The sequence below is a fragment of the Homo sapiens genome, chromosome 22 (genome assembly GCF_000001405.40).
Source record: "Homo sapiens chromosome 22, GRCh38.p14 Primary Assembly".
NCBI classification, from domain to species: domain Eukaryota; kingdom Metazoa; phylum Chordata; class Mammalia; order Primates; family Hominidae; genus Homo; species Homo sapiens.
This window is the reverse complement of record NC_000022.11, coordinates 37,694,333-37,716,999: the sequence shown is the minus strand read 5'-3', so window position 1 is coordinate 37,716,999 and position 22,667 is coordinate 37,694,333. Positions and strand designations below refer to the sequence as shown.

Sequence of the window (22,667 nt, the reverse complement as noted above, 5' to 3'; positions counted from 1 at the left end):
GAGACCAAGAACCCACCAATTCCGGACACAATACTTTGAAACCATGACTATCCTGTTTGCTGACAAATTATCACCCTAGGGATTTTGCATCCGCCAGTGATTCATGCCTGAACCAGTTATTGCTACAGTGCCTGCAACAGTCTCTTAACTGGTTTCTCATCCTTCAACCCCTCCCTGCTCCAATTCATCCTTTGCATCTTTGATCTAGGGAACTTCCTGAGGCACAGGTTTAATTACATGACTTTCCTCCTCAAAAACCTTCGGTGGCTCCCTACTATTTAGAGAAGTCCAAACTCCTTGGCTAAGGCCAGGCATAGTGGCTCACTCCTGTAATCCCCAGCCAGGAATTTGAGACAAGCCCGGCCAACATGGTGAAACCCTGTCTCTACTAAAAATACACAAATTAGCCACGTGTGGTGGCGGGTGCCTGTAATCCCAGGTACTTAGGAGGCTGAGGCAGGAGAATCTCTTGAACCCAGGAGGCGGAGGTTGCAGTGAGCCAAGAGGGCACCACTGCACTCCAGTCTGGGCAACAGTGTGAGACTCTTATCTCAAAATAATAATAGTAATAATAATAATAATAACAGGCTAGGCGTGCCTGTAATCACGCCTGTAATCCCGGCAATTTAGGAGGCCAAGATGGGCAGATCACTGAAGGTTGGGAGTTTGAGACCAGCTGGGCTAACATGGTGAAACCCCATGTCTACTAAAAAGACAAAAATTAGCTGGGCATGGTGGCGGGAGCCTGTAATCTTAGCTACTTGGGAGGCTGGGGCAGGAGAATCGCTTGAACTGGGGAGGCAAAGGTTGCAGTGAGCCGAGATCACACCACTGCACTCTAGCCTGGGCAACAGAGCAAGACTCCATCCCAAATAATAATAATAATAATTAAAGTGGGTAGCATAACTCATTGTGGCTGCTCCATCATGACATGCAAACTGTTACTATTATTAACACTCAGGCCACCAAAGTAAGCCGTGCCCAGAGTCCCAAATGGCCAGTGAGATGGCTATCTGGGGGGCCCCAGGCCATCACCATGGGAACCAACCTGGCAGAAGGACTCACCCTCCTTTTTCTGGCCTGCAGCATCTCCTCCCACAGGGGACCTGGTGAGGAGAGACGGAGCCCTTTGGGAGCTGTCAGCTCTCGGCCCCTCCCGAGGCCTCCTCGGGATCATCACTGCGAGCTCGTCCCAGCTGGGGGCCTCCTCCTCCTGCCTCTCAACAGTGTCCCAGTCCTGCCAGAGAAGGGGAGGAGAAAGTATGTTTGCGGGAGAAAAAAGGCTGCAGGACATATACTCTCCAAATGAGAGGGGCAGAAGGAAGGGAAGGGAATTGGCATTAAAAAGCACTTCCCTGGCCAGGCGCTGTGGCTCACGCCTGCAATCCCAGCACTTTGGGAGGACGAGGTGGGTGGATCACGAGGTCAGGAGATCGAGACCATCCTGGGAAACATGGTGAAACCCCATCTCTACTAAAAAATACAAAAAATTAGCTGGGCGTGGTGGCGGGCACCTGTAGTCCCAGCTACTTGGGAAGCTGAGGCAGGAGAATGGTGTGAACCTGGGAGGTGGAGCTTGCATTGAGTGGAGATCGCGCCACTGAGCTCCAGCCTGGGTGACAGAGTGAGACTCTGTCTCAAAAAACAAAAAGAAAAACAAAACAAAAAAAAACAAAGCACTTCCCTGCAGGGCGCAGTGGCTCACGCCTGTAATCCCAACACTTTGTGAGGCTGAGGCAGGTGGATCACCTGAGGGCAGGAGTTCGAAACCAGCCTGGCCAACATGGTGAAACCCTGTCTCTATTAAAAATACAAAAACTAGCCAGGCATAGTGGTGGGCGCCTGTAATCCCAGATACTCGAGAGGCTGAGGCAGGCGAATCGCTTGAACCTGGGAGACAGAGGTTGCAGTGAGCTGAGATTGTGGCACTGCACTCCAGCCCAGGTGACAGAGCAAGACTCCATCTCAAAAATAAATAAAATTAAATAAAAAATAAAAAGCACTTCCTAAACTGTCAAGTTCTGTCCCCAAGAGGTGACAGTGAGTGGTGCCACACCTTCTGTGGTGTAGACTCCGCTCCATGGCCTCAGTAAAAAGCACTTCCAGGCTGGGCAACACAGTGAGACCCTGTCTCTACAAAATTAAAAAAAATAATAATAACTAGGCATGGTTGTGCATGCCTATAGTCCCAGCTACTGAGGAGGCTGAGGTGGGGGGATCACTTGAGCCCAGGAAGTCAAGGCTGTAGTGAGCCATGTTCACATCATTGCATTCCAGTCTGGGCAATGGAGCAAGACCCTGTCTCAATCAATCAACTTTTTTTTTTTTCTCTATTTAAGACGGAGTTTTGCTCTTGTTGCCCAGGCTGGAGTGCAATGGTGCAATCTAAGCTCACTGCAACCTCCCGGGTTCAAGCGATTCTCCTGTCTCAGCCTCCCAAGTAGCTGGGATTACAGGTGCCCACCACCACACCCTGCTAATTTTTGTATTTTTAGTAGAGACAGAGTTTCACCATGTTGGCCAGGCTGGTCTCGATCTCCTGACTTCAGGTGATCCGCCCACCTTGGCCTCCCAAAGTGCTGGGATTACAGGCGTGAGCCACCGCACCCAGTCTTCAATCAATCAATTAAATTAAAAGCATGTGCTGTTTGCCTGGCACTGTGCTGGGCTCTAGCAGGTGCTAAGTGCCAAGTCGCTCATCTTCAACGGACCTAGGAGGCATGTACATCCATTGAAGCCAAGAGCTTTGCCCAGAGTCCCAGAGTTCCGCATGTGGGACTGTGTGAGGTAGCCCCAGGGGCCAGAGAAAAGTGGGTTCAAATCCTAGCCCCACTACTTCCCAGATGTGTGGCCTCCACTAAGTTGCTCCCCCCGCTGAGCCTCAGCCCCATATGGGGCGACTGAAATCTCCACTTCTGAGGCTGTGGTGAGTCTCCCCTGAGCCCACACCCACCAAGCCCTTAGCATGGAGCTGGCCATGAAGCGTGTGAGGCTGGGTTGTTTTATTCTGAGTCTTATCACCACCCCCTGTCATTTTCCTTTTGGGGGGTCTCCTGGGACAAGCCTGTCTCTTCTGCTCTGCGGCAGCCCCTCAAAATGCAAATGCTGGAGGAAAGACTGCTGGCTCTTCTCTTTTCGTGGTTAAATGACCCCCGCAGCCTGCTCCCTTTCCTCTGTCTCTTGGAAATCTATTCCAGGGCTGGCCATGGGACTCAGCACTGTGTGTCGAGGGCAGGGCCCTGGGGCCCTGTGCCACTCTTGCGCTAGACACCAAACCCAACACTCTGGGATCTGAGAGCATGTGGCAGCCCGAGCCTGCTGGTGATTCACCCAGAGCTCCTGTCGGCTGAAACTCCTTTCCCTGTCTTTTCACAGCCAGACCCCAGCTGCCCTGGGCCAGCCTGTGCAGAAATCCCCACTCTCCAGGGGTTCGCCGGGGTGGCCCGAGCTGCCAGCTAATGGTCCAGAGGACCTCGTCGGATTCCCTGGTGTGAGGCTCAGCCCTGGCCTGGAGGTTTAGGTGGGACCCAGGGCTGCAGATGGAGGTGTGAGCCACTCTTGTCCCCCAAACTCCCACTCCTGGCTCACCACAGAGGACGAGTTGCTGGTATCATCAGGGGTGGCGGAGTCAGGGCTGGAGGTGGGGTCAGAGCCGGGGTCCTCGTTGCAGCTGCCACACAAGGAAGTGGTCAGGCCCTCCAGATAGGGTACTGCCTCAAGCTCCCGGCTCCTGCTCCTGGGGGCAGCTGTGGGACCCTCTTCTGGGAGCCCTGCTGAGGGGGATGGGCCCCTGGGAGAGGAGACAGACCCAAAAAGTAATGGGGAGTTAGGAGCATCCCCCACCCCACCCAGGCATATGCACTCACTCACACAGGGAGCCTGGGGCCCACACGCTGGTGTGGGAAAGGGAGCCAATGGTGAGAGCTGCCTCTGTGTCAGACTTTTTATATGGATTGCCTCATTGAGCTAAAACAGCATCCCTTTTTTTTTTGTAATTTTATTATTTATTTATTTATTTATTTATTTATTTATTTATTTATTTTGAGACAGAGTCTCGCTCTGTCACCCAGGCTGGAGTGCAGTGGCACCATCTCGGCTCACTGCAATCTCTGCCTCCCAGGTTCATGCCATTCTCCTGCCTCAGCCTCCCCAGTAGCTGGGACTACAGGCGCCCGCCACCACGCCTGGCTAATTTTTTGTATTTTTTAGTAGAGATGGGGTTTCACCGTGTTAGCCAGGATGGTCTCGATCTCCTGACCTCGTGATCCGCCCGTCTCGGACTCCCAAAGTGCTGGGATTACAGGCGTGAGCCACTGCGCCCAGCAACAGCATCCCTTTAAAGTAAGTATAATAATTCCCATTTTAGGCCGGGCGCAGTGGCTCACACCTGAAATCCTAGCACTTTGGGAGGTCAAGGTGGGTGGATCACCTGAGGTCAGTAGTCCGAGACTAGCCTGTCCAACATGGTGAAACCCCGTCTCTACTAAAAATAAAAAAATTAGATGGGCATGGTGGTGGCACACACCTGTAATCCCAGCTACTCAGGAGGCTGAGGCAAGATAATCGCTTGAAGCCAGGAGGTGGAGGTTGCAGTGAGCCAAGATCGTGCCATTGCGCTCCAGCCTGGGTGACAGCACGAGACTCTATCTCAAAAATAAATAAATAAAAATACAAAAATTAGTCGGGTGTGGTGGTGTATGCCTGGAATCCCAGCTACTCGGGAGGCTGAGGTTGCAGTGAGCCAACATCGTGTCATTGCACTCCAGCTTGGGTGATAGAGCAAGATGCCATCTCAAAATAATAATAATAATAATAATTCCCATTTCACAGAGGAAGACACTGAGGCTCAGAGAGGTCAAGAGACTGGCCAAGGTCACCGAGATAGGAAAGGGCAGAGCTGTGTTATGAACCAAAACTATTGCCCCAGCCCCAACTTTAAGTCTTAGTCTTAGTCTACTGACCCCAAGTTCAGTAAGTCTAAGAAGACAGACTCATGCTTGGCTAACGAGGATGTGAGAGGCAGCATGGCTCCACAGGCATTGACGGGTTCACTAGCCCAGATGCTGAGGGAGGGAGCTGCAGAGAAGGCTCTGCTTTAAAAGAAGTCACAGGCTCAAGAAGGCTTAGCGCTGGCAGTATCCCCAAAGAGTGACCCACAGACTGGCCTACACGATGATAATAAGTGATGGCCATAAAAAAGAGCTCTGTAGTCAAATGACATACTTCTCTACTTCCGTTACCCAAAAGCCACGATGCACGCAGGCAAGCTAAAGGCTCTGACAAGTCCTGCAGGAAAGCTATTCAACTTCATTTATCCCAGACTTTCTGAAACATACTTGATAACAAAGCTGTCTTTGTTTTTTTTTTCGTTTTTTTGTGGGTTTTTTTTTGTTTTTTTTTTTTGTTGTTTTTTTTTTTTTTGAGACGGAGCCTCGCTGTGTCACCCAGGCTGGAGTGTAATGGCACGATCTCAACTCACTGCAACCTCTGCCTCCCGGGTTCAAGTGGTTCTCCTGCCTCAGCCTCCCGAGCAGCTGGGATTACAGGCACCTGCCACCATGCCTGGCTAATTTTTGTATAGTTAGTAGAGACAGGGTTTCGCCATGTTGGTCAGGCTGGTCTCGACCTCCTGACCTCAAGTGATCCGCCCACCTTGGCCTCCCAAAGTTCTGGAATTACAGGCATGAGCCACTGCACCCAGGCTGTTTTTTTGTTTGTTTGTTTGTTTTAATATGCCTACCTGTGAGGAGCACATGAATGATCCCAGCACAATGCTGATTTAATTCAATCCCTCTTATTTTACAGAGAGGGAAACTGAGACACAGAAAGACAGAGTAACTTGCTCAAGACCCATCAGGGATGGATCTGAAGCTGGAACCCAGGTTTCTAGACTCTCAGACCATGGCCTCCCAAGGTACCATGACCTTAAAGGGGGACTGCCACTCAGGCCTGAGGGTGGAAGGAACCCCAGAGCCTGGAGCAGTGCACACCCACGTAGGTGGGTGACAGCAGGTGCCCCTGGGTGCAGGGACTGTTTAATCTTTTAAAGCTGTGCAAAGGGAACCAGGAAATGTGAGTAGGCTGTGGCCATGCCCACTGCAAGGTGAGTGTACAGCAGCCACACACCCTGGGGCAAAGCTGAGCTCGGTCTTGGGAGGTTATGGGGTGGGCAGGGCCCCTGGGAGAGACAGCCAGGACTGGGGAGGGGAGGCTCAGCCACTGAAGTGCAAACAGGGTGGTGTGATCTGAGTTCTTCCTGTGGGCCCAAGGAGCATGCCCACCACCCACCTGTGCCTAGGTTTAGAGGACTGACCACGTGACCCATGCCAGCAGCCATTAGAGACAGGTGCTGCCTTGGGGAAGGAGTGCAAATGGGAAGGGTGAGGGCATTCCACCCCATGAAGCCCTTCCTGGGCCCTGGGACTCTACCCACCTCTTGGGCCCTGGCCTGAGGCCTGGGTCCACCACAGACTGGCAGCCGGAGGTTGAGGCGCTGAGTGGGTCCTCAGGGGCAGGTGGACATCGAGGCAGGTCGCAGTAGGGCACCTCAGCACCTGAAGGGCTCCTGAGCTCCTGGGCCAGGGTTGGAGAGAGGAGACAGCTCAGCGCCCACGTGGGGGCTCCCCTCCCCCTGCACAGCCCCTCCCGGTGGCGTGGGAGTCTCCAGGCATCTCCTCGGGGGATCCTGCACTTCTCAAGGAGCTGCCCATCAGGCTAGAAGCACCCCTTGGGACTCAAGCCGAGGGCTGGCTGAGGTACCTGGTGTGTGCCTGCACACGTGAGTGTACACATATGGGCCTTGGAGCAGGTATGTGTGTGGATAAAGGCCTGGTATTGGGGGCACATGTGTGCACATAGGTGGAGCGAGCTCTTGCGCATGCGTGTCTACGCAGGTCCCGCGGGTACACCGATCTGTACGTTTGCATGAGTGCAACTTCATGTATACATGCATGTATGTGCGTGCGCCCCAGAACGAGGTGGATAGAAGGATCCACCAGGGTCTTTTGCGGCCAAAAGACAAGGGCGAGGAGGAAGGATTAGGCTGGCTGAGAGAAGGGAGAGGTCTGAGGGAGGAAGAGGCAGTTTGATGGTAGAGGAGATGGGAAAGCAAGGTCTTGGAGGACAGAAGAGATTTGCCCCACTAAAGGAGAGGCAGGGGATCCAGGGCTGGAGGGTCAAGGCCCCAGGAAAAGGGCGGGGGCTAGAGCCAGCTGCCCACTCCTCTCTCCCTCCACCTTTGGCAAGGCCACACCTGTGAAGGCTGGTCTGGTGCTGGGCTCACCAGGGGGGAACGGCTGCTCACCTCCAGGGCCCCCCCCAATTCCTCCCCACCTCTGGAGAGCGGCAGTTCCCTCCCCTGGTGGTGGGAGACAGCGGCCATGGCACCCTGCGCCCCGCCTCCTCTCGGATTACCTGGGCTGCGGGCTCTGGTGGTGGTGGTGGCTGTCGACTGTCAGCACCCTCGTCCCCGGGGGGCTCCGGCTCAGGCCCCCACACTGCTGCCCTCCCAGGCCCCGACTCCGGGCTGTGGTGGCAGCAGCCGCCGAGGCAGTGGAAACCTTAGAGGGGCCGGCTTCGGGAGCAGGGGCCCCTCATTACAGTTTCATAAGCCGGGCCCCAGCCAAGAACAATGAAAGACATGAAACCGCAGGAACCCGATCCCAGCAGCTCACCTGAGAGCCGGGAGGGGCAAGAGCCTGGGCCTGGGATCCCTGGGGACCCTGGAGCCCAGAGCCCAGGGCCAAGGCAGCAGCCTGGTCGGCACCACAGGGTGGGCACAGGCTCTCCAGGTTCCAAGAAGGCCACTGCTGGGGTCAGGCAGTGCCAAGAAGTGGGGTTGGGATGTCTGCCGTGACATCCAGGCCAGGGGAGGCCTGGTGGGATTCAGTTTCACCCCCTGCCCTGCAGCCAGATTCTGATCAGAGCTCGGCAGCAGGAGGTGTCAGATCCACAGCCGGGCCTGGCGCCTTGGCCACCCAGGGGACAGCACAGCAGAAATGAGGAGAGACTTGCCAGGCATCAACCAGGGGTCTCTGCCCCGCCAGGCCCAGCAGGAACCCTAGCCTAATGTGACACCTCATCCTGGCTTTCACCCCAGCCCCCGTCACCACCCCACACCACCCACTTGAGTGGGCCCCACGGTCAGTCCCCAGCTCTGATTTCCTGTCTGGCGGGTCAGCACTGGCTCTGGCCTCAGATGGACCTCGGGCCCCATCCTGGCTCCTCCGGTTCCCGGCTGGTGACCTCAGGCCGATGACTTCCCCTTTCGGAGCATTGTTTTCTCCTCTCGGAAATGGAGGCTGAGAAGCGACCAAGACCTGGGCCACGTGACTTATCCTCTCTGTGCCTCAGTTACCTCATCTACAAAACCGGCAGGATAGCAGGACCCACCTCCTAGGGGTGTTCTGAGAATTAAACGAGTTAATATTTGTAAAGGGCTTTTTTTTTGAGACAGAGTCTCGCTCTTATAGCCCAGGTTAGAGTGCAATGGTGCAGTCTCGGCTCACTGCAACCTTCGCCTCCTGGGTTCAAGCAATTCTTCTGCCTCAGCCACCCCAGTAGCTGTGATTACAGGTGCCCGACACCATGCCCGGCTAATTTTTCTATTTTTAGTAGAGACAGGGGTTTGCCATGTTGGCGAGACTGGTCTCGAACTCCTGATGGCAGGTGATCTGCCTGCCTCGGCCAAAGTGCTGGGATCACAGGCATGAGCCACTGTGCCTGGCCTCAATTTTTTTTTTTTTTTTTTTTTGTGAGACGGAGTCTCACTCTGTCGCTCAGGCTAGAGTGCAGTGGCGTGATCTTGGCTCACTGCAAGCTCCGCCTCCCGGGTTCATGCCATTCTCCTGCCTCAGCCTCCCGAGTAGCTGGGACTATGGACGCCCGCCACCATGCCCAGCTAATTTTTTGTATTTTTAGTAGAGACAGGGTTTCACCGTGTTAGCCAGGATGGTCTCGATCTCCTGATCTCGTGATCCGCCCGCCTCGGCCTCCCAAAGTGCTGGGATTACAGCCGTGAGCCACCACGCCCGGCCTTTTTTTTTTTTTTCTTTTTTTTGAGACAGAGTCTCACTCTGTCACCCAGGCTGGAGTGCAATGGCGCGATCTCAGCTCACTGCAACCTCTGCCTCCCGGGTTCAAGCAATTGTCCTGCCTCAGCCTCCTGAGTAGCTGGGACTACAGGGGTCCGCCACCATACCCAGCTAATTTTTGTATTTTTAGTAGAGACGGGGTTTCACCATGTTGGCCAGGGTGGTCTCGAACTCCTGACCTCAGGTGATCCACCTGCCTCGGCCTCCCAAAGTGCTGGGATTACAGACGTGAGCCACCACTCCCAGCCAATTTTTTTTTTTTAAACATACAGATTTTTTGACTCCATGTTAGAAATCTGTTGACCTAAAGCTAGAGGCAAATATGGCCAAGGGTCCAGAATCCTTGGAGGAAAAATGGGCTAAATTTGGTCCCTGGAGACCTGTGGTGACAGAGAGATGGGGAGAGAGTGGGTGAGGCAGACAGAGTCAGCCAGGGAAGACCCGCCCCAACCCCAGCAGCAGCATCTGAGGGTGATGGAAAAAAAACCCACCCATTCCTTCAATGCCTGACCACGTGGCACCATGGAATAGGTCCAGAGTGGCAGAGGAGTGCACAGGCAGGCAGGTGGAAGAGGCTGGAAGAGGCAGTTGCCATCTTCTGGGGCCCAGGAGGTTTTTTTGTTTTTTTTGAGATGGAGTTTTTCGCTCTTGTCGCCCAGGCTGGAGTGCGGTGGCCAGATCTCGGCTCACTGCAACCTCCGCCTCCCGGATTCAAGAAATTCTCCTGCCTCAGCCTCCCGAGTAGCTGGGATTACAGGCATCCGCCACCACACCCTGTTAATTTTTGTATTTTTGTATTTTTAGTAGAGTCAGGATTTCACCATGCTAGTCAGGCTGGTCTCAAACTCCTGACCTCAAGTGATCCACCCGCCTCGGCCTCCCAAAGTGCTGGGATTACAGGCGTGAGCCACCGCGCCCGGCCCAGTGTCAGTTTTTTACTATCACATCTGGTATACACAGGGAGCTGCTACCTGCCCAGAGTTGGGTCCCAGGGCCTGGCTCGGAGACACAACAGTCACCCCTCATGCATTTGCCAAAGGAGAGTTTCACAGCCTTGATCATCATCAGAGCAACTGGAAGCTCAAGAAAGTGGAGGATTTGATGTCGTGCCCCTCTCTGATCTTTTTTTTTTTTTTTTAAGATAGTCTTGCTGTGGCAGTGGCATGATCACAGTGCACTGCAGCCTCAATCTCCTGGGCTCAAACAATCCTCCTGCCTCAGCCTCCCAAGTAGCTGGGACTGCAGGCATGCACCACTACACCCAGTTCATTTTTTGTTTTGTAGAGATGGGATCTCACTTTGTTAACTAGGCTGGTCTTAAACTCCTGGTTTCAAGCCATCCTTTAGCCTCAGCCTCCTAAAGTGCTGTGATCACAGGCGGGAGCCATTGTGCCTGGCCCCCTCTCTTGAAACCATCTCTGGTCTTGGCTCCTGGGGAGGAGGGGCACACTGTGGGGTTTGCCTCCTAGCCTCTGGCCTTCTTGGCTGTCTCTGCTGATTCCCTGGCCTCCACCCAGGCCTGTTCTCATCTCATTCCACACTTTCTTCCACAGATGATAGGCTCATCCGTGAGCAAGACTTTGGTCAGTGACAGATCCTGAAGACTCGCAGGCCTCCATCTCCTGTGATGGTCTGGCTCTGAGCTCCAGCCCCACCAATTCACTAACTTCCCCCTCATCTCCACTGTATCCTGCCGACACCCCACACCATGCCCCAGACAACTCCAAACAGACCTCCCAACCCAAGTACCCTGCCTGAAGAAATTACAGGAGTCAGCCATGGGTTTCTCCCCTCCCTCACCCCCAAATCCTGTAGACGTGCCTGCTCAATTAGTTCGGAAATGTGTCCATTTGCCTCCATCTCAAAGCCCCAATCATCTCTGGCACCGATGAGTACGTGCACCTTTTCCTGGCGGGTCACCTGATTCACTCTCACCACCCTGCCCTCCATTCTCTCTGCCCAGCAATCAGAGTGACTGTGAAAAATGCAAATCAGAGCACGTCACTCCCTTATTTGAAATCTTCCGTGGCTTGGCCGGGCGAGGTGGCTCACACTTGTAATCTCAGCACTTTGGGAGGCCAAGGAGGGCAGATTGCTTGAGGCCAGGAGTTCAAGACCAGCCTGAGCGGCATGGTGAAACCCCATCTCTACTAAAAATACAAAAATTAACTGGGTTTGGTAGTACATGCCTGTAGTCTCAGCTACCTGGGAGGCTGAGGCAGGAGAATCGCTTGAACCTGGGAGGCAGAGGTTGCAGTGAGCCGAGATCACGCCTCTGCACTCCAGCCTGTGCGACAGAGCGAGACTCCATCTCAAAAAAAAACAAAAACAAAACAGAAAAAAACCTCAGAATCCTAAGTCCTCAACATGTCCACAAAGCCGCACAAGGCCAGTGAGACCAGGCCTCCCCCCATTCTCCATCCTTGTCCTATAGCTCCTCTGTGCCCCCCTCTTGCCTGTCCTCTCCAGCCCGATGTGCAGCCTCCTTTCTGCCTCAGGGCCTTTGCATATTCTTTGTTTGTTTGTTTTGTTTTGAGAGGATTCTCGCTCTGTTGCCCAGGCTGGAGTACAGTGGTGCAATCTTGGCTCACTGCAACCTCTGCCTCCTGGGTTCAAGAGATTCTCCTGCCTCAGCCTCCTAAGTACCTGGGATTACAGGCACCCACCACCACATGTAGCTAATTTGTGTATTTTTAATAGAGATGGGGTTTCACCATGTTGGCCAGGGTGGTCTTGAACTCCTGACCTCAGGTGATCCACCCGTCTCGGCCTCGTAAAGTGCTGAGATTACAGGCATGAACCACTGCACCTGACCTGTTTGTTTGTTTTGTTTTTGAGACAAGGTCTCATTCTGTTGCCCAGGCTGGAGTGCATTGGCATGCTCATGGCTCACTGCAACCTTGAACTCCTGGGATCCAGTAATCCTCCCACATCAGCCTTCTGACTAGCTGGGACTACAGGTGTGCACCATCCTGCCTGGCTAATTTTTTTTTTTTTTTTTTTGGTAGAAATGGGGTCTCACTGTGCTGCCCAGGCTGGTCTCAAACTCCTGAGTTCAAGTGATCTTCCTGCTTCGGTGCCTCAATCCAAGCACTTCCTCCCAAAGTGCTGGGATTACAGGCGTGAGCTGCCGTGCCAGGCTGGCCTTTGCACATTCTCCTTCCTTCCTCTCCTCTTCCTGCAATTTCACTAATGCTAATGCCTGCACAGCCTTTACTAAGCAGCTGAAATGTCATTTTTTTTTTTTTGGAGAAACTTTCCCTAATGCCCTATCCTTTACCTTCATGCCACTTACTGTTCCTTTATACATTTATCACAACCAAGATTAAATAATCATGTGCATTTCTCTTGCTAGAATATAAGCCCCATGAAGACAAGCCAGGGATGTGTCCCTCTCTCCTCCTCTCCTCCTCTCTCTCCCCCTCCCCCTTCCCCTCCCCCTTCCCCTCCTTCTCCCTGTTTTCTGTACTGTTCTGTTCTGTTCTGTTCTGTTCTGTTCTGTTCTGTTCTGTTCTGTTCTGTTCTGAGTCAGGGTCCAACTCTGTCACCCAGGCTGAAATACAGTAATGCGATCACGGCTCACTGAAGCCCCCGCCTCCCAGTCTCAGGTGATTCTCCCACCTCAGCCTCCTGAGTAACTGAGACTATAGCCGCATCCCACTACGCCCAGCTAATTTTTTAAATTTTTTGTAGAGATGGGGTTTTGCCATGTTGCCAGGATGGTCTCAAACTCCAAGTGATCCACCCACCTTGGCCTCCCAAAGTGCTGGGATTACAGGAGTGAGTCACTGTGCCTGGCTGTGCCTTTCTGATTTATCATGATTTCCCCATCATCTAGCATAATGCCTGGCACATTTTAAGCACCTATTCAGTACGTATGAATTTGTGAGCTGACCCACGGTCTCGGGTGGGAAATGGTGGGATTGAGACTAGAACTCAGACGAGCCTGAATCCACGGCTCTCCTGTTCCATTCTTGCCATCTTCCCAACCACTGGAAGAAAGTCATTTGCATGAAAGATGGACTCCCAGGCATCTGTTCCCTGAACCTGAACTTGCAGGTGAGCACAAGAGAGCTATTATTGGAGGTATCAAGACTGGTAGAAGCTGGGCGCGGTGGCTCATGCCTGTAATCCCAGCACTTTGGGAGGTCGAGGTGGGCGAATAACGAGGTCAGGAAGATCGAGGCCATCCTGGCTAACATGGTGAAACCCTGTCTCTACTAAAAAGACAAAAAATTAGCTGGGCGTGGTGCCGGGTGCCTGTTGTCCCAGCTACTCATGAGGCTGAGGCAGGAGAATGGCATAAACCTGGGAGGCCGAGCTTGCAGTGAGCCCAGATCGCACCACTGTACTCCAGCCTGGGCAACAGAACGAGACTCTGTCTCAAAAAAAAAAAAAAAAAAAGAGGACCTTCAGACCCCAATGGGAATGACGAAGCCATGGTGGTCAAGGTTGGAAGGGCCCTCGGAGGTTCGTGAGTCCCAGGTTTCTCATTGCGTGTGTATCAGGTGCTCTGTGTTTACATGCATGGGGGCTTGGCAGCAGACTACATCAATCACAAAGTCAGAAAAGGACTCTTCTTCACTCCTTCAATAACTTGAAGAAGAAAATCTCGGCCAGGCGCGGTGGCTCACACCTGTAATCCCAGCACTTTGGGAAGCCGAGGCAGACAGATCACAAGGTCAGGAGTTCGAGACCAGACTGACCAACATGGTGAAACCCTGTCTCTACTAAAGATACAAAAATTAGCTGGGCATGGTGGTGGGCACCTGTAATCCCAGGTACTCAGGAGGCTGAGGCAGGAGAATTGCTTGAACCCAGGAGACGGAGGTTGCAGTGAGCTGAGATTGAGCCACTGAACTCTAGCCTGGCGACAGAGAGAGACTCCGTCTCAAATGAAAAAAAAAGAAAGAAAAAAAAGGATTCTTCTTCACTCCTTCAATAACTTGAAGAAGAAAATCTTGAGACCAGGTGCAGTGTCTCACACCTGTAATCCCTGCAGTTACAGAGGTTGAGGTGGGAGGATCACCTGAGCCCAGGAATTTGAGACCAGCCCTGGCAACATAGTGAGATCCCATCTTTACAAGAAAATTAGCTGGCCATGGTGGCATGTGCCTGTAGTCCCTGCTACTCAGGAGGCCAAGGTGGGAAGATCATTTGAGCCTGGGAGGTCGAGGCTACAGTGAGCCATGTACTATAGGTTGGACCACTGCACTCCAGCCTGTGCTACAGAGCAAGACCCTATCTCCAAAAAAAAAAAAAAAAAAAAAAAAGAGAGAGAGAAAGAAAATCTCTAGATGATGCTGGTGTATTCTTAACATCTCTCTAACATCTGCTAATCTCCCTTTTTGACAAAGAGACAGCAGGATGCAAGCTCAGAGCCTTCCATAGAAAACACTCTCGAGGCCAGGCGCGGTGGCTCACGCCTGTAATCCCAACACTTTGGGAGGCTGAGGCGGGTGGATCACCTGAGGTCAGGAGTTTAAGACCAGCCTGGCCAATATGGCGAAACCCCGTTTCTACTAAAAATACAAAAATTAGCTGGGCATGGTGGCAGGCACCTGTAATCCCAATACTTGGGAGGCTGAGGCGGGAGGATCGCTTGAACCTAGGAGGCAGAGATTGCAGTGAGCTGAGATCACACCATTGCCATTGCACTCTAGCCCAGGCGACAGAGTGAGACTCTGTCTCAAAAAAAAGAAAAAGAAAAAGAAAACACTCTCAAGTTAGGGTGTAACGACATTTCTGTTTTGTTTTTTCTTTTTCTACCTTTCTTCTCTTTTTTGTTTTGTTTTGTTTTGTTTTTTGAGACAGTTTCATTCTGTTGCCCAGGCTGGAGTGCAATGGCGCGATCTCGGCTCACCACAATCTCCGCCTCCCAGGTTCAAGTGATTCTCCTGCCTCAGCCTCCCAAGTAGCTGGGATTACAGGCATGCACCACCATGCCCAGCTAATTTTCACCATGTTGGCCAGGCTGGTTTCAAACTCCCGACCTCGGGTGATCCACCCACCTCGGCCTCCCAAAGTGCTGGGATTACAGGCGTGAGCCACCGTGCCCAGCCTCTACCTTTCTTCTTAACCTCTTCTTCTTAACAGGAAGTAATTCTAGTTTTCTACTTGTGTTGATGATGTGAAGTTTTGTTTCAATAGAAGGGGAAAAAGATGTTGATTTAAAGAATAACAAAGTAAGTAACAGATTAGATAAGGCTATGGTAACAATCGTATCATATAAGCAGGAGGAAAGTGACTGAAGATTGTGAAACATTCACATGGTTCAACCACTTCCCTGCAATGTGGGAAAACCGAGGCTCTCGACAGGAGGAAGTCCAGCATCTGGGTTCAACTGCGAGTTAGCGGACACCACAGGCCCAGTCCTTCACCCATGCCCCCATCACAAACCACCCCAACCACGTGGAAAACTGGCCCACCTGGTATCTTGCTCCATGGGCCTCCTCAGGGTGGAAGCAGTTTTGACAGCGGTTCTGGGTAAGTATGTTGGCCTCAAAGTGTTCACACAGGGCATCCCCAGGCACCTCCTCCATATTGGGTGAGTCAGGCCAGGGCAGTTCCTATGATCCAATGGCTGACCGTCTATGTGAGGCCTGGCAAAAATGAGGGGGAGGCAAAGACCAGATGACTGGCTGGCCACTCACCTGAACCCCAGCCCCAGTTGCCCCAGTTTCCAGACAAGGACCAAGGAAATAAGGTTACTCATCCATTCCTTTGGGTTCCTGTTCTCCATCCATTCCTGTTCATTTATTCACTCAACAAACACTCACTAAGCACCTACTAAGCACCAGGCACTCTGCCAGCATTTGATGTGCGATTTCTAGTCCTTACTGCAGTGTTGCTGAAAGTGCACGCCAAGGACTCTGCATTACACCCTCCTGGGCTGTTCATAAAAATGCAGATACCAGGCCAGGCACAGTGGCTGATGCCTGTAATCCCAGCACTTTGGGAGGCCGAGGTGGGCCGATCACTTGAGGTCAGGAGTTCGAGACCAGCCTGGCCAATATGGTAAAACCCTGTCTCTACTAAAAATACAAAAATCAGCCAAGTGTGATGGCACGTGCCTGTAATCCCAGCTACTTGGGAGCCTGAGGCAGGAGAATGGCTTGAACCCAGGAGGCGGAGGTTGCAGTGAGCCAAGATTGCGCCATTGCACTCCAGCCTGGGCGACAGAGTGAGACTTCATCTCAAAACAAAAAACAAAAAAATGCAGATTCCAGCTGGGCCCATTGCGGGCGGCGGATCATTTGAGCCCAAGAGTTCAAGACCATCCTGGGCAACTGGCGAAACTCCGTCTCTACAAAAAATACAAAAATTAGCTGGGCAAGGTGGTGCAGGCCTGTGGTCCCTGCTACTCAGGAGGCTGAAGTTGGGAGGATCACCTGAGTCTGGGAGGTCGAGGCTGCAGTGAGCCATGACTGTGCCACTGCACTGAGAAAAAAAAAAAGCAGATTTCAGCTGGGTAAGATGGTGTGCACCTGCAGTCCAAGCTACTCGGGAGGCAGAGGTGGGAGGATCTCTTGAGCCCAGGAGTTTGAGGTGGTAGTGTGCTATAACTGCACCTGTGAATAGTTACAGCACTCCAGCCTAGGCAACATAGCAAGACCACATCTCAAAAAAAAAAAAAAAAAATCTAGATTCCCCTTTCTCTCTCCCAATTCACACAGTTAGAATCTCCAAGAGACTGAGGTCTGGGGCTGTGCATGTTAAAGAAGTGATTCCAGCCGAGGGCGGTGGCTCACGCCTGTAATCCCAGCACTTTGGGAGGCTGAGGCAGGCAGATCACTTGAGGCCAGGAGTTCAAGACCAGCCTGGCCAACATGGTGAAACCCCGCCTCTACTAAATACAAAAATTAGCTGGGCGTGGTAGCACGCACCTGTAGTCCCAGCTACTTGGGAGGCTGAGGCACGAGAATCGCTTGAACCTGGGAGGCAGAGGTAGCAGTGAGCGGAGAGCACGCCACTTCACTCCAGACTGAGCAACAGAGCGAGACTCCATCTCAAAATAAATAAATAAATAAATAAATAAATGAAAATGAAAATAAAGAAGCGATTCCTGGCCAGGCGCAGTGGCTCACGCCTATAATCCCAGCACTTTGGGAGGCCGAGGCGGGCAGATCACCTGAGGTCAGGAGTTCGAGACCAGCCTGGCCAATATTGCCAAACCCTGTCTCTACTAAAAATACAAAATTAGCCAGGCATGGTGGTATGCACCTGTAGTCCCAGTTACTCGGGAGGCTGAGGCAGGAGAATCACTTGAACCCAGGAGGCGGAGGTTGCAGTGAGCCAAGATTGCACCACTGTACTCCAGCCTGGGTGATAAGAGTGAGACTCTGTCTTAAAAAAAAAAAGTGATTCCCCAGGTGATTCTAGTGCGCCCCAAAGTTTGAGTGTCCTTGTCTTATAGCTGCATTGTAGATCAAATTAATGCCAATTTTAGATCAGGCAACTAAGGCTCAGAGAGGTTCCTTCGGTCACTGAAGGTCGCAGTGGCTGATTCAAATCCAGGGCTGTGTGTGTCCCTGCTCTCTCGGAGGTGGAAGTGAGGAGCACTGGATCATACTGCCAACTCGCACAGGTCCCTTGGGAAGCACAGCGAGGGAGGCAAAAAGCTGGCCAGGTATTTTCAGAGTTGAGGACGACGTCTTTGACAAACGTGAACAGCCTAAAGTCACACAGCAAGTTTGTGGCAGAACTTAGCCAAAAAGAAATCCTAATGTGTTTTCGTTTTGTTTTGTTTTGTTTTTTTGAGACGAAGTCTCTCTCTGTCACCTAGGCTGGAGTGCCGTGATGTGATCTTGGCTCACTCGGCTCACTGCAACCTCCGCCTCCTGGGTTCAAGCAATTCTACCTCAGCCTCCCCAGTAGTATCTGGGATCACAGGCATGCACCGTCATGCCTGGCTAATTTTTGTATTTTTAGTAGCAACGGGGTTTCGCCATGTTGGCCAGGTGAACTCCTGACCTCAGGTGATCCGCCCCCTTCGGCCTCCCAAAATGCTGGGATTACAGGTGTGAGCCACTGCATCCGGCCCCTAATGTCTTTTTTGGGGAGGTGGGGGCAGGGTCTTGCTCTGTCACCCAGGCTGGAGTGCAGTGGCTCGATCATAGCTCCTTGCAACCTCAAACTCCCGGGCTCAAATGATTCTCCTGCCTCAGTCTCTGGGACTGAGTAACTGGGACTACAGGTGTACGCCACCACGCCCAGCTAATTTTTTTCTTTTTTATTTTGTAAAAATGGGCTCTTGGCCAGGTGCGGTGGCTCACGCCTATAATCCCAGCACTTTGGGAGGCTGAGGCAGGCAGATCACTTGAGGCCAGGAATTCAAGACCAGCCTGCCCAACATGATGAAACCCTGTCTCTACTAAAACTATAAAAATTAGCTGGGCGTGGTGCGCATGCCTGTAATCCCAGCTACTCAAGAGGCTGGGGCAAGAGAATTGCTTGAACCCAGGAGGTGGAGGTTGCAGTGGAGCTAAGATCGCCCCGCTGCACTCCAGCCTGGGCAACAGTGTGTCTCAAAAAAAAAAAAAAAAAAAAAAAAGGCTCTTGCAGTGTTACCCAGGCTGGTTTTGAACTCCTGAACTCCTGACCTCAAGTAATCCTCCTCCTTCCCTCAAAGTGCTGGGATTACAGGTGTGAAGCATCATACCCTTCTGAAACCCTGGTGTCTTTCTTTCTTTTTTTTTTTTTTTTTTTGAGACAGAATCTCGGTCTATCACCCAGGCTGGAGTGCAGTGGCGCGATCTCGGCTCACTGCAACCTCTGCCTCCCGGATTCAAGCAATTCTCCTGCCGCAGCCTCCCAAATAGCTGGGATTACAGGCATGTGCCACCATGCCCGGATAATTTTTTTGTATTTTTGGTAGAGACGAGGTTTCACCATATGGGCCAGGCTGGTCTCGAACTCCTGACCTTGTGATCCACCCACCTCGACCTCCCAAAGTGCTGGGATTACAGGCTTGAGCCACCGCGCCCGGCCGCCCTGGTATCTTACTTGTGCAAGGGTTCTCCTTTCTGGGTGCCCCTAAGGCCACCAACATCCATGCCCTGGAGTGGAGCTGGGTCAGGAGAATCACTTAAAGATGGCCTCCCCACTCACACAGAGCCCCAGGGGGAGGGTGGGGGGTGGGAGGAACCCAACATCCCAAAACACCTGCAGCTTTTGGTGCCCCCAGGTCACCTGCCCACATCCATCCTCACCTGCTGTGTTCCAGGGGATCAGGCTTTTGTGGCCAATCTTGGTGGAGAGCTGAGGAATTTCACCTCCTCCCCTGGGACAGCCAGGGCCAAGGCTCCTCCATCATCAGACCTGGAGAAGGGAATGCGGTGGGGGCGACAGCAAGGCACGGTGGGGAGAGGGCTACCCACTGGTCCTTCCGTGGCCCCAGGGTCTCTGATCCTCCCCGGGCGGTCGTCCTCCCGACTCCTGGTGGTGGAAGAGGGGCGCATCGGCCCCGCCCGTCCTGGGCGTTTCTCTCCTGGTCTGGCCACATAAAGGAGCGTCGCCTAGCAGGAGAACGCCGCTCATTTTCCTGGGGGTGGGTAGGGGGCTCTACTCCACGTGCCCCTCGCTGCTCCCGTTTCCTCCCCTACCCACAACCAATAGGCAGAATCCTTCTCTAAAATGCACTTGAGATGTGGATATAATAATCAAAACCTTAAGCAGCTACACATGCCCCACCCAGAGAATGGACCCGGGACCCTCTCCATCCAGGCATTCAGCCAGTTCCTCCCCGGATCCCTCGACCCCTACCCCTCCTGTAGGCCTCCCCCTACCAGCTCCTCTTTTCTGAGGCCCAGTGCTAACCTTGGCTGGGTTTCCACGCACAGGGGCTGCCGGGGTGGGAGTGCCAGGGTCATGGCCTCTTTATTTTAACAATGAATCAGAGCGATGCTCGGGAGGTGGAAGGCCACGCCCCTGCCACGCTCGCATAGGCTCTCTCTGGGTGCCTCATTTACATGAAGACTGTGGGACTCTGTGGGACTGGACAAACCAGAACAAGGGGCGGGGCGGAGGCAGGCGGGGCGCAGATACCTCTGAGAGCGGGACTCACTGCACGTTTAGCCTGGGCCGCCTGCAGCCCTTGCCCGCTGGGGGTCCCCAGGGAGCCCTGGAGAGGGCTGGCACTGGCGGATCTGGCTCCTTCTGACCTCTTTCCCGTTGGTTCATTCTGCCGACAGTCCGCTGGGCTGGCTTTAGCACAGACCTTGGACTAGAGTCTTAACCTCTCTGTCATGACAGTTTTCTTACCGAGGAGGCGGAGGTTGCAGTGAGCTGAGATAGCGCCATTGCACTCCAGCCTGGGCGACAGAGCAAAACTCTTGTATAAAAAAGAAAAAAAAAATAGCCTGGCGTGGTGGTGTGCGCCTGTAGTCTCAGCTACTCAGAAGGCTGAGGCAGGAGCATCGCTTGAACCCGGGAGGCGGAGGTTGCAGTGAGCCGAAATCACACCACTGCACTCCAGCCTGGGCAACAGAGTGAGACTCCGCCTTAAAAAAAAAAAAAAAAAAAAAAAAAAAAACTTGTTTCCCATCTTTTTTCCTTTTGGTTGATATTTGCCAATTGTGGCGACTGGGATGGGAGGAGGAGGGCGAAATTCACTGGACAGGGAGGAAGGTTGCAGCAGGAGTCCAGGAGAGATGGGTGCAGTGATGAGACAGGGAAGGTAAACTAGATTCAGACACTTGTAGGCAGGTGAGCTTGGCACTAGGGTCACAGAAATCTTAGATTATTTTGAGAGTTGTTGGGGATCACCTGGGGGTTGGATTCAGACAGGATTGGCTGAGAACCTACATTGACACAAGCTTGTGCCCAGAGCAGAAACAGAAATGACTAAGATACAATTTCTCACTCAGAAAGCTCTGGTCTGGTTCGAGGGACAAACCAGGATTCACTGTGTTCAGTGTTTAAAAGAAGGAAACACCTACTATCATGGGAGGTCAGGTGGAGAAAGGAGGAAGGCAGAGAAGGCTTCTCCTTGGAGGTGGCTCAAAGGTGAGGAGATCGAGAAAGGCTGAGAACAGCCTGCAAACCTCTGAAGGTGGCTGGGGGAGGCCAATGCTAGCTCAGAACAAGGCGGGCATTTCTAGCAGTCCTCACAAGGGAGCAGGCAGTGAGCTCTCCAAGCTCAGGAGGAACTGAAGCCCCTCACCAGAGCCACCTGCAAGCCAAAGGAAGGTCAATGGCTCAAACCTGGGGGCGTCAAGGTCGTCAGCACCACTGGGACCTTGGAAAGGATGGACGCTGAGGCTTATATGACCCCAGAACACCTGCCCCCACAGTTCCTCACCTCACCCCCCTGGGGAGAGCTCAGGCCACCCCAAAACAGATCGTACCAAAAGAAGTTTTATTTTAATGGGCTGAGCCCAGCCTCAGGTAACTATGGCCACAGCTCATCATGTACTAGCACAGGGCCTGACCTTGGTGTGAAAACCGAGGATGGATAAATGTCTGCTGTGACTTTAGCTCCACACAGATGGATCCCCTCATGACAGCCCTTTATATATTTGGCTTCTGTGAAATAATCTGCTGATTATACCCCAACACCCATTCTCTCATTTTTTTTTTTTTTTTTTTTTTGAGACAGATTCTCGCTCAGTTGCCCAGGCTGGAGTGCAGTGGCGCGATCTCTGCTCACTGCAAGCTCCGCCTCCCGGGTTCATGCCATTCTCCTGCCTCAGCCTCCCAAGTAGCTGGGACTACAGGTGCCCGCCACCACGCCCAACTAATTTTTTGTATTTTTAGTAGAGACGGGGTTTCACCGTGTTAGCCAGGACGGTCTTGATCTCCTGACCTCGTGATCTGCCCGCCTTGGCCTCCCAAAATGCTGGGATTACAGGTGTGAGCCACTGCGCCTGGCCTCATTCTCTCATTTTTGAGATGGAGTCTTGCTGTTGTCACCCAGGCCGGAGTGCAGTGGTGTGATCTTGGCCCACTGCAACCTCTGGCCCTCGGGTTCAAGTGATTCTCATCTCAGCCTCCCAAGTAGCTGGGATTACAGGCACCTGCCATCACACCTGGCTAATTTTTATATTTTTAGTAGAGATCGGGTTTCGCCACGTTGGCCAGGCTGGTCTCAAACACCTGATCTCAGGTGATTGGCCCACCTCAGCCTCCCAAAGTGCTGGGATTACAGGCACGAACCACTGTGCCAGGCCCCATTCTCTCCTTTCTAACACAATCCCCAATTCTCATCTGAGCACTTGGTTTCCCAGAATAGAAGAGTTCCTGGCCGGGCGGGGTGGCTCATGCCTGTAATCCCAGCACTTTGGGAGGCCACGGTGGGTGGATCACCTGAGGTCAAGAGTTCGAGACCAGCCTGACCAACGTGGCAAAATCCCATCTCTACTAAAAACACAAAAATTAGTCAGGCGTGGTGGCAGGTGCCTATAGTCCCAGCTACTGGGGAGGCTGAGGCAGGAGAGTTGCTTGAATCCGGGGAGCAGAGGTTGCAGTGAGCCGAGATTGTACCATTGCACTCCAGCCTGGATGATGAGCAATACTACATCTCAAAAAATAAATAAATAGAAGAGTTCCTAGCCTGTCTTGTAGCTAAGAGCTCCC

At 52.7% G+C, this 22,667-nt stretch overlaps 1 protein-coding gene across 1 annotated transcript in view, besides 1 other annotated feature; it reads right to left on the bottom strand.

Moving 5' to 3' along the window:
- TRIOBP (TRIO and F-actin binding protein) overlaps positions 1-19,952 on the bottom strand; it is a 79,509-nt gene extending 59,557 nt beyond the window's left edge. Inside the window, exons 1-6 of the mRNA NM_001039141.3 lie at positions 19,911-19,952; positions 19,304-19,412; positions 15,521-15,694; positions 6,434-6,573; positions 3,589-3,790; positions 1,066-1,237 (exon numbers count right to left, since the gene is read on the bottom strand). Of these exons, the coding sequence (NP_001034230.1) occupies positions 1,066-1,237; positions 3,589-3,790; positions 6,434-6,573; positions 15,521-15,634 (628 nt within the window). The 5' untranslated portion in view covers positions 15,635-15,694; positions 19,304-19,412; positions 19,911-19,952. The remainder of the gene's footprint in view (positions 1-1,065; positions 1,238-3,588; positions 3,791-6,433; positions 6,574-15,520; positions 15,695-19,303; positions 19,413-19,910) is intronic.
- Positions 4,637-4,820: a silencer, noted in NCBI's record as "fragment chr22:38108187-38108370 (GRCh37/hg19 assembly coordinates)". NCBI's record gives its function as "represses an EF-1alpha promoter that drives an FKBP-Casp9 reporter gene in an ReSE screen in HepG2 liver carcinoma cells and K562 erythroleukemia cells {active_cell/tissue: HepG2 | K562}" and the evidence as "EXISTENCE:reporter gene assay evidence [ECO:0000049][PMID:32094911]".